Here is a 12,614-nt window from a genome sequence, read left to right as displayed (position 1 = left end):
AATGTTTACTTCTCTGTCCAGCCCAGACCTTTAGCTGATGTCCAGGTTCATGCATTCAGCTGTGGTTGGGCTCTCTCCAACTCAAATAGTCATGGGTTTTCCTCTCCACCTCCTCAATTCACCCCCACCACCTCCGTGATGGTGGCTATTCCTGCCCAGGTGCTCAGGCCGACATGGCCAGCTCCTCTCCCCTCCTGGCACCCACCCTCTGACCGCTCAGCACCTCCATCCCTCTGCTGTCCACATGGACTGATTCCTGCACTCCGCCCACCTGCCTGCTCCTGCCTGGCTGCTCTCGAAGGATGATCACACCATGGGCCTCCCTGGTCTCCCTGCCTAGCCTCCACCACAGTCTATTCTATTCAATGATTCAGATTAGCCATGCCCTGCACCGAGCCCAGGTCTGCAGCCTCACTCTGTCAGCCACAGCCTTTCCCTGGTCAACAGGGCCCTGAGCCTCTGGTGCCTTCCACCTGCTGGTCTCTTTCCTGCTTCTCTCCTGTGTCCCCTTGCTCTGGTCACATGGCCTCTTGGTCTTCCTAGGACAGGCCAGGAGCTCCCCACCTCGGGATCTTACCCTTAGTCCTGGCCGCCCTGGGATGCTCCTCTCCGGGACATCCACCCGCTGAGCCCTCACCGCCTGGGCAGCTGCTGCAAGGCCCCCTTCTTGGGGGGCTCCTCAGATGTCCATGAGCAATCACAGCCCCCCAACCACCACCCCCTCCCTTCCCAGCTTTGTCTTTTTCCAGTGCACTTCCCACCATCTGACATAGTTTGCGTGTCACACATGGCCTTCGGTTGGATTCTTCTGGAAGCTGACTCTGAGAGTGGGCATGACTCAGTTCACCTGGAGAAGTCCCCAGGAAGCTCGGGCAAGACGGTGGGGAGGGAAATGGGAAGGAAAAAATGCCCTTTCTGGTGGGATAAGTAGGAGGTGCCCACGGTGGGCTGCTGGTGCTCAGCTGCACTGGAGACCTCATGGAGACGCTTAGGAGCAGCATCAGAGGACTGCACTGGAGAGGCGGGGAAGCCAGGTCTGCTCCCCGCCAGCTTCCGTTCACCCAGGGCAGCTTCCCAGGACTCCACTCCCAGGCCACACAGGCTCCTGCAGCCTGAGGAGGAGCCGCAGGAGAGCAGGGGCAGCAAGAAGCCATCGCAGGGCAAAGACTCTGAGGCCTGCGGGACCCAGGCGGCACCACCAGCTTCTGCTTTGTGCACTGTCTTGGGCTGTCACCTGCTTGTCCTCTGTCCCTCTGTGGGTCGTGAGCTCCCTGAAGCCAGGGGTCTTTGTTTTGTTCTTTGCTGTGGCCAGAGACTACAATCGTTCCTGGTGCACAGTCGGCCCTGCTTAAATATGCACTGAGTGAGTGACGCCTCCTGGGTCCACCTCTGCAGCCTTCTGAAGTGAATATTTGGCATCTCTAAAGAACCCAGATCCCAGGCAAAGTCACCCCTAATTTGGCTGTTGCAGACTCCACCTCCTGCTGCTTCTGGGCTGACTCTGAAGCCTGTTGCTACTGTCTGCAGCCAAGTTGGCTTTTCCAACAGCAGCAGCAATGGAGAGGGGCTCAGACTACTGATAAAAGCTCCCTTTACACCAGGTGCTTTTCCAATGCTTCTACAGCGCCTTTTGATGTTGCAGTCACGAATCCTGATGGCAGAGTGACGATAGTGGTCCCTATTTCGTCCGATGTCTCACTTGATAGGACGACCAAGAGTCCACAAATCGTTCCTGAGTATACCTCTAACAACAGATTTTTTCCTAAACGGTTCCACCTGGTTTGATCAGGAAGAAGAAACAACAGATACGTGTATTTTCATTTCTTCCTTCAGTGGAGGAGTCACAGTTGTTTTGGAAGCTGTCCAAGTGCCAGAGACCCCGGACACAGATTCCTGAGCATCCTTCCCATCCTTCCCATCCTTGAAGGCAAATCATCCATCTCTGTATCTGTAACTCCAGCACAGGTCTGGACGGGGCAGAGCTCAAAGCAAGGAGTGTCTGTGGACCAGTGTCTGTACCACCCAGGTGAAGTGAGACGAGCCTGTGTCGCTGGCCTGCAGAAGGGCCACAGTCTGCCCGAGTCTGCTTCTTCCCTGGGGAGGTGCAGGCCGAATGCCGTGGCCAGGATTGCTACAGAGGGAGGCTCTGCCCAGCTCATTACAGCCGGAGTGAGGCTTGAGATGTCTGTTCACTGCTCGTGTTGAGCTTGAGCACTTGGTTAAAGTGCTGGCCATCAGATTTCTCTATTGCAAAGGATCATTTTTCCCTTGTGTAATTGCCAAGCAACATATGCGGTGATGCTTTGGGACCTTATGGATATCCTGTTCTTCAAAATCTGTCCCCCAATGGTTTTGGCATCCACAGATGGTCCTCAAATGAGTCAATTGTAACATTTTCAAATTCCGTCATTCTTCATATATATCAGCTGCTGTTATTCTGTAAAGAATTCTTCCTGGCTCCAATCAGCTTTTTTTAGTATCACTATGAACTCATAGATCCTTTTTTAAAAAATTCAGTGTGTTCATTCTTGCTCCCATATATTTTTGATGCTCAAATACTTCTACATTTGTCCATTGAAAGTCCTCTGACTATAGCTTCTGTTTCCTTTTGACCAATTTCCATCATCTTTTGAGCACTTCTTGGCTTTCTGGTACAATACGACTGGCTGGAATCTTCAAAGAAGTCAACATCCCAAGAGATGAAATGATGGACTCGCTGCTTGACATTGCAGGGAATGAAAGAATCATGTCAAGCCATGCAGTGTGGTCCTAGATTGGATGCTAAATTGAAAATAAAAGCTCTCACTTTGGACTGTATTTTAGATTATATCACTGCATCAACATGAAATGTTTGGGTGTGAAAATGGCATTGAGATTATGTAAGAAATTATTTTTTTCTTTAGGAGATATACACTGAAGTGTTTAGGGGTGAACTATCATGACCCCTGCACCATACTTTCAAATAGTTTTGCCAGAAAAGGAAACACACACGCACAATTGTGTGCACACATGCATGCACACACACACAGTCACATGCGCACACACAATTTTCTTTAAATAATGCTCGTGGAGATAGGTGACCCACACACATGGTGTTATCAGTTGATGAAGCTATTTGAAGGGTATGTGATCACTGTACTACTCTGTATGTTTCTGAATAGTTGACATTTTTTAAAGCTAAGAAATTGGGGAAAAAATGAAAAAAAAAAAATCAGAAGGGACAGGTATTGTGGTCAGGACTGTGGGCAGCTGGGCTTAGCCTGCCCTGAGAAAGCTCATCCTTTTACTGCAATTAATGCTATTGTTACCAGATGGAAAGTCCTGACTGTGAGTTGTCCAGGTTCTTGGCAAAGACTTGAACAAAATGCACAGACAAAGCAACAGAAAAACAAAGCAACGAAAGAAAGTGCAGATTTACTGATGTGAAAGTACACTTCACAGAGTGGGAGTGGGCTCAAGCAAGTTGCTCAAGAGCCCCAATTACAATGTTCTTTAGGGATTTTTATTAAGCTAAAAGAATTTGGTAACACCTCTAGGTGCTCTTTTAGAGGCATCTGATTGGATACGCCCTATGAAGGATTGGTCCATGACCAATCAGAGGCTGAAGTGGAACCTTGTGTCTCATTATTGCAGAAGTGAGGGTGTGGACTGTGTGCTGCCTAATCTTGCCTAAAATTGGCTGCACCTGCTGTTCTTTATGTCTTAACCTTTGGTTACCCCAATTCCCTATTCTCCTGCCTCACTATGACATGGGTAACTGGCCAATGTTTTTGAACTTCCAAAGGCTAAAATCTAGACAGCTTTGAAGAAAAGTTGTCTCTTTTATACTACAGAAAGAGATAATGCAGAAAACAGAGAGGAGGACAGACTGGAGGCAGGTAGCTGCTGATAGAATGTCTGAGCCAGGCACTGTGCTAGGTACTTTCGTGCTACATTGTCGATCTATTTCCAATGGTGACCTTTAAGAGACAAGGAAGGCAAGGCTCATTGAAGTCACAAACCTGCCCCAGTAAAAAATTGCTCATCTCAGATAATGACTTCCAGTAAAGAAATATGATTAAACAAATTCACCAAAGATTGGCCAAAAGCTACCTGAATGTAAAGATTTTAGAAGTCCTGGCCAGGGTTTATCTGCTTGTAAAAGGAAGCTTTGTAGCAGGAAGGGTTTTATCCCCTGAGCTGAAACATGGGTAGGGATAGCCGGGCCCTCTCACCTAAGCTGAACCTTGGCCCATTGGGCAGGCCTTGGAAAGCAGGTGCTGTCTCCTTTGCTTACACAGTTTGTGGGACATGACCCTGGCAGGGCCATTCCCCATCAGGGTGCTCCACTTCTTGCTTCACAGTGAGTACTGGGGACCCCTGGGGGACTTGGGGTGAGCCCTGAGTGGAGGGTGGGGCACAGCCTCCCCACCCCTGGCCAGCCCTTTGCAGGGTTCAGAGCTCCACGGGCATAAACTCAGGGGCTTCCGCCACAATTTGAAGACGCTCCTGAGGAAGAATGTTAGGCACAGGAATGTTTTGCCCAGTGCTCTGTTACAATGGAGTCAGCGGCTGGGTGTGGAAATTAGGGTGAGTGGGTGGGAATATATTGCCCCTTCCCCAGGTCCAGCTGCCCAGGACATCTGTGGCTGTGGAAGGGAAGGACACTTTTGCAAACTTAAACAGCACCTACAAGGACTCTTTCTGATTGCTCTCCAGTGAGACATGAGTAAATTAGCTAATTAAGGCAGCTCCACTGAATACATTCTACATGCAGGCAATTTGCTGTTTACTTCCCACATGGACAAAGAAACGAAAATAGGAACTAAACATCTCAGAAAGAAAAAATACCCTTGAATAAATTACAATTAAGTATTTCTTGATTATTGAAAGTGTGTGTGAAATGGTTCTCACCCTAAGGTCAAAAAGTTAATAGCCCCCGTCCAAACCAAAGTGTTCATCATTTGTTCAGGAAAGTATTTGTTTAGCGCCTGCAACGTGCCAAGCCTGTGGCTGGGCCTGATGATGAAATGGTGGGGAAGGCAGAGCAAGGGAGGATATTAATCAAATAGTCAAACAGATGAGACAGATCAGAGCCCCTCTGTCCACATTTCCTGGGGTCTGGCATCTCTTGAGATTCTGATAACAACAAGCCAGGAAGGAGGCAGATGCTGTTTGTGCAAAGAAGACAGAATCTGTGGATGGGACTTGCTGGCAGTTGAAGCTTCACAAGGCGATGCCTCCGATGTGTTTTAGATGCTCTTTTTCTGAGGCCAGGTCATCCTGGAGGGTCCTGTCCTCCCCCTGCTCTCTCACCCTCATGGACATTTCTGGACTAGGGAGGAATGGCTGACAGTCACGACACAGTGGGGGCAGAAGAGAGAAGGTCTGGGGCTGAGTGGACAGTCCAGGGAGTTGAGGAGTGTCAGTGGAGGAGGGGAGAAAGTGAGGGGGTGAATGGGGAAGAGGGTGGGGCAAGCTTCCTGCCGGCTGAGGGGGGTTTTGTGGTTCTCCCTGACAGCTTGGGAGCAAGATGCTTTCCCATGGATGAGCTTGGGAGGCAAGTGGCTAGAGAACTCCTCTCCCACCCCGTTCCTGTGTCACAGGGAGGATACCACATAGGTCGGGATGTGTTGCTTGAATCTGGGTGAAGTACTGACTGTTCACTGTTGCTTCTTTGTGTGTGTCCCTGGATGGCAAATGAGGGGCCTATTTTATTGCAAACTGTTGCACTTCTTTCCTGCTCCAATAAGGGCATTCAGCCAGGGTCAAATGTCTGAGATTCCTGGACTAGGCAGCCTCTGATTGCTCCTGATGAAATCATTTCAGCACCTAGGACAGCTCAGTGCTCAGTGCACATCTATGTAACTGCTGAATCCCTGTCTTAGAACAAAGGCCAGTGTGCTGTTAGTGAATGGTGCTGATGCCTAGAAGTGGTTTCAGCACAGTGGTTTTGAGGCTCCCAATCCAAAGTGGGTGAAGAGAGAAAGAGAAAGCTGGGGTCTTGGACATGGGAGCCACTGGGAAGCGACCCCAAATAGGATAACGGTAGTTTCCATCCAAAAGTCAGGGCTGTGCGTGAGGTATAACTTCAGTGCTGGGCCGATAAACCAGCACTTTAGGGTCAAGAAAAGCCCAGTTTTCCTGGTATAAATACTCCCAACATGGCTGATTTCAAACTACCAGAGGTTTAACACCAATTAACAAAATTTCTGAACATTTCACAGTTGGTTCTCAGAGCTGGCTGCCTGCACTCCACTGGGTGTGAATGATTGGTCTGGTCCTTACTAGGGGTTTCACAGCGGATGTGGGGTGGGTTCACCATGGGGCTGTGGGTGAGCCTGTATATCCCACCATGCAATAGGAAGTATTCCTTGCGTCACCCACAGAGTCCAACAGTGAGGACCTGGAACATGTAGACTGATGAACACTGAAAGAAGTGGAACCAGCAGGAATGAGGATCTCCTCAAATCCAGCAGAATATCCCAAAGGGAATAGAGACAATGCCAGGAGGAAGAGGGGCCCCTGTGGAGGCTCTGGAGCCCCTGGGGGTTTTTGAAAATGACTCTTTTGATCAGGCTGCAAAACTCAAACCTGGGGGAAAGAGGTTGACTGTGGCTACAGTTTTATCAGAAAAAAATATGCAAAAAAATTAGTACTTGATTCATTCTTTGATTACTTAAGAATGGGGGTACATCTGCCACTATAACCCAAATGTTAGACAGGAAATAAAAACTTATTTTCATCACATTTAGCTTTACTTTTCTAGAGAAGACCCTCATTAGACCTTTTTTGATTGTTTGTTTTGTTTTTTAGAAGAAGTGGCAAGTACATGGCTGAGAGCAGGGGGTCTGGTGCAGGGTGACCTAATCCAGTCCTGATGATGCCGATTTCTACACAAGCAACCACCTTTCTGTGCCTCTGTGTTTTCATCTGCAAAATGGGGACGGTGATGTAGTAGTGCCTGTTTTGGAGAGTACATGATTTAATACACATGGAGTATGGGGAACAGCGCCTGGCCTAAAGTGAATCCAAGGTAAATGTTTGTTAACTAAATCACAAAGCATTTGTTGTGAAACTTTGGTACTCAATTTAATTGAATTTACCTTGAATGGGCTTTTTAGTTGTATGGGTTGTCCTCAGATAACAATGGCCTTGTTTCATTACACGTGGTCCTGGCTGGGAAGAAAAGACACTACAGTGTGATAAGAGGGGCCTTGGGGGACCTGACCTGGGCCCTGGGCCTGGGCGAGGAGGTGATGAGGACACAGGAGAATCCCCCCAAGGAGGTGACATTCATCTGAGACCTAACAGGTGACGAGGTTCCTGGAGGTAACTGGGTGAGGATCAGGGTGGGGGTGGGGAACATACCAGGAGGAAGGGCCAGCACGTGCCAAGGCCCTGAGGTTCCTGGAAGCCTGGTCTGTCCAAGGCCAGCGGAGAGACCAGTGTGGCCATGACCAAGTGGACACAGGAGTGAGTGGTGGGAGGTGGGACTGGACGGGGGCAGGGACCTGTGGGGGTTTGGATGCCATCCTGAGGTCCAAGGGCAGCCTCTGAGGTTTGATGGGTCCGATCTTTCTCTTTGGACGTCCCCATGGGAGGGCCTCCTTGTCTGGGGCTGAACCTTTCCTCCCCATTCCCACCATGTCCTGTTTCACAGGTAAGAACCTGTGTGGGAGGGAGACTCTGTTTCAGGGCCTTGGCCACATCTCAGAAGAAAATCTGAGAAGACCGTTTTCAGGAAATGCTTGGCTGGGAAGTCTGCCATGGGAAGCAGTGGTCTGAGATCCAGGTCAGGATCCTCCTGAAACATGCGGGTCTATGCAGGGAATTGCCAGGGGTCAGAATGAAGGCGTCTGGCTTCAGGAGCATACAGTGGGAAGCAGCCCAGGCTGGAAAGTGCAGATTTTACCGGAGCTGTAGGTTTTCATGAGGAACCTGGGGGTCCCTCAGGCATCTCCCTGCAAACAGCTGCCTACCCATGGTGAACATCCAGAGGCCGGGTCCCAGGGCTTCTCCTGGCTTCCCTGCCTCCAGTTCAGTCCCAAGAACAAGATGGTGTCACTGACCTTGCTCTCAGACACCCGCTTCCCATGGCAGAGTTCCCGGCCTGCCTGGGTTCCTCTGCCTCCTGGGTTCAAGTGATTCTTGTGCCTCACACCCAGCTGATTTGTGTATATTTAGAAGAGACAAAGGTTTCTCCTTGTAGACCAGGCTGGCCTTGAACTCCTGACCTCAGGTGATCTGCCCACTTCAGCCTCCCAAAGTGCTGGGATTACAGGAGTGAGCCACTGTGCCCAGTCTTGTCTGTTTTCTCTTAACAAGTGCACAATATCAATGGGAGAAGCAACCCTGGCCTGAGCCCCTAAGTCAAACATCTGGGTGCACCTGGGGACAGTCAACATGGACCCGGTTACTGTGGCCCTGATGGTAGATTGTGGTCCTGGTTGGCACAGGTGGGTCATCACAGTCTTACCTGTAGCTGGTTTATGGAAGGTCTGAACTAGATACGAGCAGGAAATGGATTCATTTTTCTCCAACCGCTGCCTTCGAGCAGCTTCTGTGAGGCAGGGTTGGGTTAGGGTGAGTAAGTGAGGCCAAATCATGCAAATGCAGGGTTGGATTGTATCTTAGTTGAAATGTTGATAACTTTTCCCACTAGGGTTTTTTTTTTTTTTTTGCATTAAATTTGATTTTTTTTAAACCTGCATTAAAATATTATTTTATTTATATTAAATACTTATTTTATTTATATTAAATAATATTTATTATTTATTTATCAGTGAATTTTTTGTTTGTTTATTTGTTTGTTTTTGAGATGGAGTCTTGCTCTGTCATCCAGGCTGGAGTGCAGTGGCGCGATCTCGGCTCACTGGAGCCTCTGCTTCCCAGGTTCAAGCGATTCTCCTGCCTCAGCCTCCCGAGTAGCTGGGACTACAGGTGCACACCACCGCGCCCGGCTAATTTTTTGTATTTTTAGTAGAGACGGGGTTTCAACATGTTAGCCAGGATGGTCTCGATCTCCTGACCTCATAATCCGCCTGCCTCAGCCTCCCAAAGTGCTGGGATTACAGGCGTGAGCCACCACGCCCGGCCTGATCAGTAAATTTTTTGGTGCCCCCTTAAACTTTATACCTCCCTTGCTGGACCCTGATAATCCAGAGATGAGCGCCTCCCTCCCCTGCCTCGCCCTAGTCCCCATCCTGCTGATAGGTCTCTGGTCTCTGCTTCTTGATGACATCTGGGGAAGTTTCCCTAGGATTTTGGTCACTTTGATTTATCATAACAGACTTCTTAATAATGAATGGAATATGTCAGGGCCTGGTGGCTCATGCCTGTAATCCCAGCACTTTGGGAGGCTGAGGTGGGCAGATTACTTGAGGTGAGGAGTTCAAGACCAGCCTGGTCAACATAGAGAAACCCCTTCTCTACTGAAAATAGAAAAACTACCTGGGCGTGGTAACATGTGCCTATAATCCCAGCTACTCAGGAGGCTGAGGCAGGAGAAACACTTGAACCTGGGAGGCGGAGGTTGCAGTGAGCTGAGATCACACCACTGCACTCCAGTCTAGGAGACAGAGCAAGACTCTGTCTCAAAAAAACAAAAACAAAAATGAATGGAATAACTCGTGTTTAGGTGTTACAAAATCCAGGCCAGACAAATCTAAACTTTTATCTCACACCCAGTTCCTACATTAGTCCTTTCTCCAGCTCAAGTTCAGCCTAAGCCTCGAGGGTCCTTAGTTGCGGGGGGAACCACCTGCTCTTTTCCCCACCTTTGTTCCTGTTTTTTCTCTGCTGGCTCCTGTGGGGTTGGGTGCATTCAGAAGTAGGGACAGGCTAAAGGTCTTTGGCTTTTTGGTTCTGTTGATGGGTGAGTTCCAAATACTAGCTTTCTCTTGTAGGATATTTCATTTATTTATTTGTTAAAAATATTTATTAAGAACACACCATTCATGTGCTGGAGACTGTTCCAGCCACTGGGGATAGGGTGATAAATGAGACAAACAAAAGTACCTGCCCATATTAAGCTCCTATTCTAGGGAAGAGAAAAAAGAAAGAAAATACACGTCTACTTAGTACATTAGAACGTTCCAGGTACTGTAAAGAAAAATAAAGCAGGCTGGACTCAGTGATTCATGTCTGTAATCCCTGCCCTTTGGGAGGTCGAGGTGGACAGATTGCTTGAGCTCAGGAGTTCTACACCAGCCTGGGCAAGGCAAAATCCTGTGTCTACAAAAAAAAAAAAAAAAAAAAAAAAAAAAATTAGCTGGGTGTGATGGCATGCACCTGTGGTCTCAGCCACTGGGGAGGCTGAGGTGGGAGGATTGCTTGAGCCTGGGAGGCGGAGGTTGGAGTAAGCCAAGATCGCAACATTGCACTCCAGCCTGGGTGACAGAGTCAGACCCTGTCTCAAGAAAAAAAAAAAAAGGAAAAAAAAGAAAGCGGAGATGGGACAAGAGGGGGAGGGAGGGGACTGGGGATGGGAAGCTCCCTGAGCTCCCACAGTTCTTCCTGCCCCTCTCCTGTCTCAATGGGCACGGGCCACCTGGGGCTTGTGGTTGTTTTATGCCAACCTAATATCTTGTTCTTGCCAACAGTCGGAGGCCAATTGAGGCTTCTCTGTCCTTCACAGGGAACAGCATTGGCCTAAACCTGCAGGCACCATTGCAAAGGGGAGTCGGTTCAGGTAAACCCGCTGGTGAAGCATGATTCCAGCGTGGGGACACAGAGGCTGACATATCTTGCTGTAGGTGATTTAACGTTGGGCCTCAATATTTCACTACCCCTGTAAGAGTATGACACATCCACATCCTTACCAGGGCCCGAGGGAGGGTGGACAGACTTATCTATCCCATAGGTATTGCTCGTGGCTGGGTAACTTGCTTATGCCAACAAGATTTTCATAGACACGGCACAGGCAGAAGCCTGGAATGTGTTGGCACTGCCAGGCCTGCCCTCTAATGCTCTTGATTTTTCCCACGAGACGAGCGTGCCCCAGGGAACTTTGACTCCAGCTGCAGGATGAGAGGCGTGTGGAGCACGCAGGGTTCCAACCCTCAGCCTGGAGTCAAGCCCAGACTAGATCAGCCTAAGCCCAGCCAAGCCACAGGTGCAGGAGTGAAAAGCAAATGCTAACTGTCCATGACATTGACTTTCAAAGGGGCGTGTCATGTTATGTGGCTCATCCCAGCAACAATGAAGATATTTCTCTATCAGTCAGTCGGTAAATAATTATTGACAATGTGCTAGGAAGCTGGAGTGGTTGGAGTAGATTTGGTCCCTATTCTCATGGAGCTTACTTTCTAGAGGGCAAGACAGATGATAGGTGAATAAATATAAATTATTCTATTAGGTCGATGCAGCAGTAATTCCGGCTTTTGCCAGTAAAGGTAATGGCAAACAAAAGCGGGGAGGAGCTGGCGCTGCCGTTCATTAAGAGTAATGACAAAAACTGCGATGACTTTTGCACCAACCTAATAGAATAAATTACGAGTGCGCAAAACGTTGTAATGGGAAAGTTCCAAGTGCCAGGATAGCATCTAGCTTCCTGGAGTCAGGAGATGGGGGTTTTCAACCTAAGCAAGGTTAAGTCCAAGTGGTGGGGGCAGGCGGGGGGCGATATTTCAGGGGAGACTCCAAGGATGAATGGAAATTAGAAAAGTGAACGCAGATGGTGAGGGGGGACGGGTTTCAGGCACAGAGAACAGCATGTGCAAAGGCCTGGGGGGAGGACATCGTGTGTTCATGGACTGAGAGGCGGCCAGCAGGCTGGAGCTGAGCGGGTTGAGGAGGATGGGGAGCCGGGGAAAGGCGCTCCACGCAGGGGGCACAGCAGGGGCAAAGGCCCGGAGTCAGGCCTGAGCCTGTGTGGTTTGAGGAAGTGACAGAGGCCTGTCTGGGAGGAAAGTAACAGCAGAGGGGAGACCATAAGGTCAGGGCAGAGGGCAGGGCCGTGCTGGGCACTGTGGGCTGTGGATAGGAAACTGGCATTTATGCTCGGGTGAGGGGAACTTGTTAGAAGATTTTAAGGAGGGCAGGAACATCTGGGGATAATGTGTATTCTAGGAATCTCAACCAAGTAAATTCATAGTTTGAATGTTCACAAGACTTCTGCACAGGCAAAGTGAAAGATCGTTTCTAGAGCTGTGAGATAAGATCATAGTAAAAAAGAACTACTAAGTTTTTAAAGGTTATTTCAAATGATGGATTTCCATCTTACAATTGAATGCAAGTAGGTTGCAAGGTTGATGGAAAGTAGAAAAGTTTCCTGACTTGCGTGAACAGAAAAGAAACATCAATTTGAAAGGAAACCATTTATTTATTTACTTCCTCTACAGTTTTCCTGACTGCTACATTTCATAAGAAGGGATTGTTTATGAGGGTCAAGGAGCTGGAGGCCTGGGGAGGAGCTGGTGTTTCTGTTCAAGTTTGAGGGTCCTGGAGCTGGAGCCCAGGGGAGGAGCCAGTGCTGCCACTGATGTCTTAGGGTCGTGGAGCTGAAGATCCCAGAGGAGCCGGTGCTGCTATTCTAGCTTGAGTTTCGTGGAGCTGGAGACCCAGGGAGAAGATGGTGCTGCTGTTCTAATTTAAGGATCGTGAAACAGAAGACCCAGAAAGGAGCTGGTGCT

At 48.9% G+C, this 12,614-nt stretch overlaps 1 long non-coding RNA gene across 1 annotated transcript in view, besides 3 other annotated features; it reads left to right on the top strand.

Moving 5' to 3' along the window:
* LOC105372646 (uncharacterized) overlaps positions 1-2,817 on the top strand; it is a 37,271-nt gene extending 34,454 nt beyond the window's left edge. Inside the window, exon 4 of the long non-coding RNA XR_936817.4 lies at positions 734-2,817. This is a non-coding gene — a long non-coding RNA (uncharacterized LOC105372646). The remainder of the gene's footprint in view (positions 1-733) is intronic.
* Positions 5,601-6,102: an enhancer, noted in NCBI's record as "NANOG hESC enhancer chr20:47139607-47140108 (GRCh37/hg19 assembly coordinates)". NCBI's record gives its function as "activates a minimal SCP1, AML or CMV promoter by ChIP-STARR-seq in naive H9 embryonic stem cells {active_cell/tissue: H9 hESC(naive)}" and the evidence as "EXISTENCE:reporter gene assay evidence [ECO:0000049][PMID:30033119]".
* Positions 5,686-5,980: a silencer, noted in NCBI's record as "tiled region #11669; HepG2 Repressive DNase matched - State 19:H4K20, and K562 Repressive non-DNase unmatched - State 23:Low". NCBI's record gives its function as "represses a minimal TATA promoter and a strong SV40 promoter by Sharpr-MPRA in HepG2 and K562 cells {active_cell/tissue: HepG2 | K562}" and the evidence as "EXISTENCE:reporter gene assay evidence [ECO:0000049][PMID:27701403]".
* Positions 5,723-5,923: a silencer, noted in NCBI's record as "peak4240 fragment used in MPRA reporter construct". NCBI's record gives its function as "represses an SCP1 promoter by STARR-seq MPRAs in K562 erythroleukemia cells {active_cell/tissue: K562}" and the evidence as "EXISTENCE:reporter gene assay evidence [ECO:0000049][PMID:32103011]".

The sequence above is a fragment of the Homo sapiens genome, chromosome 20, assembly GCF_000001405.40.
Source record: "Homo sapiens chromosome 20, GRCh38.p14 Primary Assembly".
NCBI lineage: Eukaryota > Metazoa > Chordata > Mammalia > Primates > Hominidae > Homo > Homo sapiens.
Note: the sequence above shows the minus strand (reverse complement) of the source record. Positions and strands in the feature narration are given on the sequence as shown.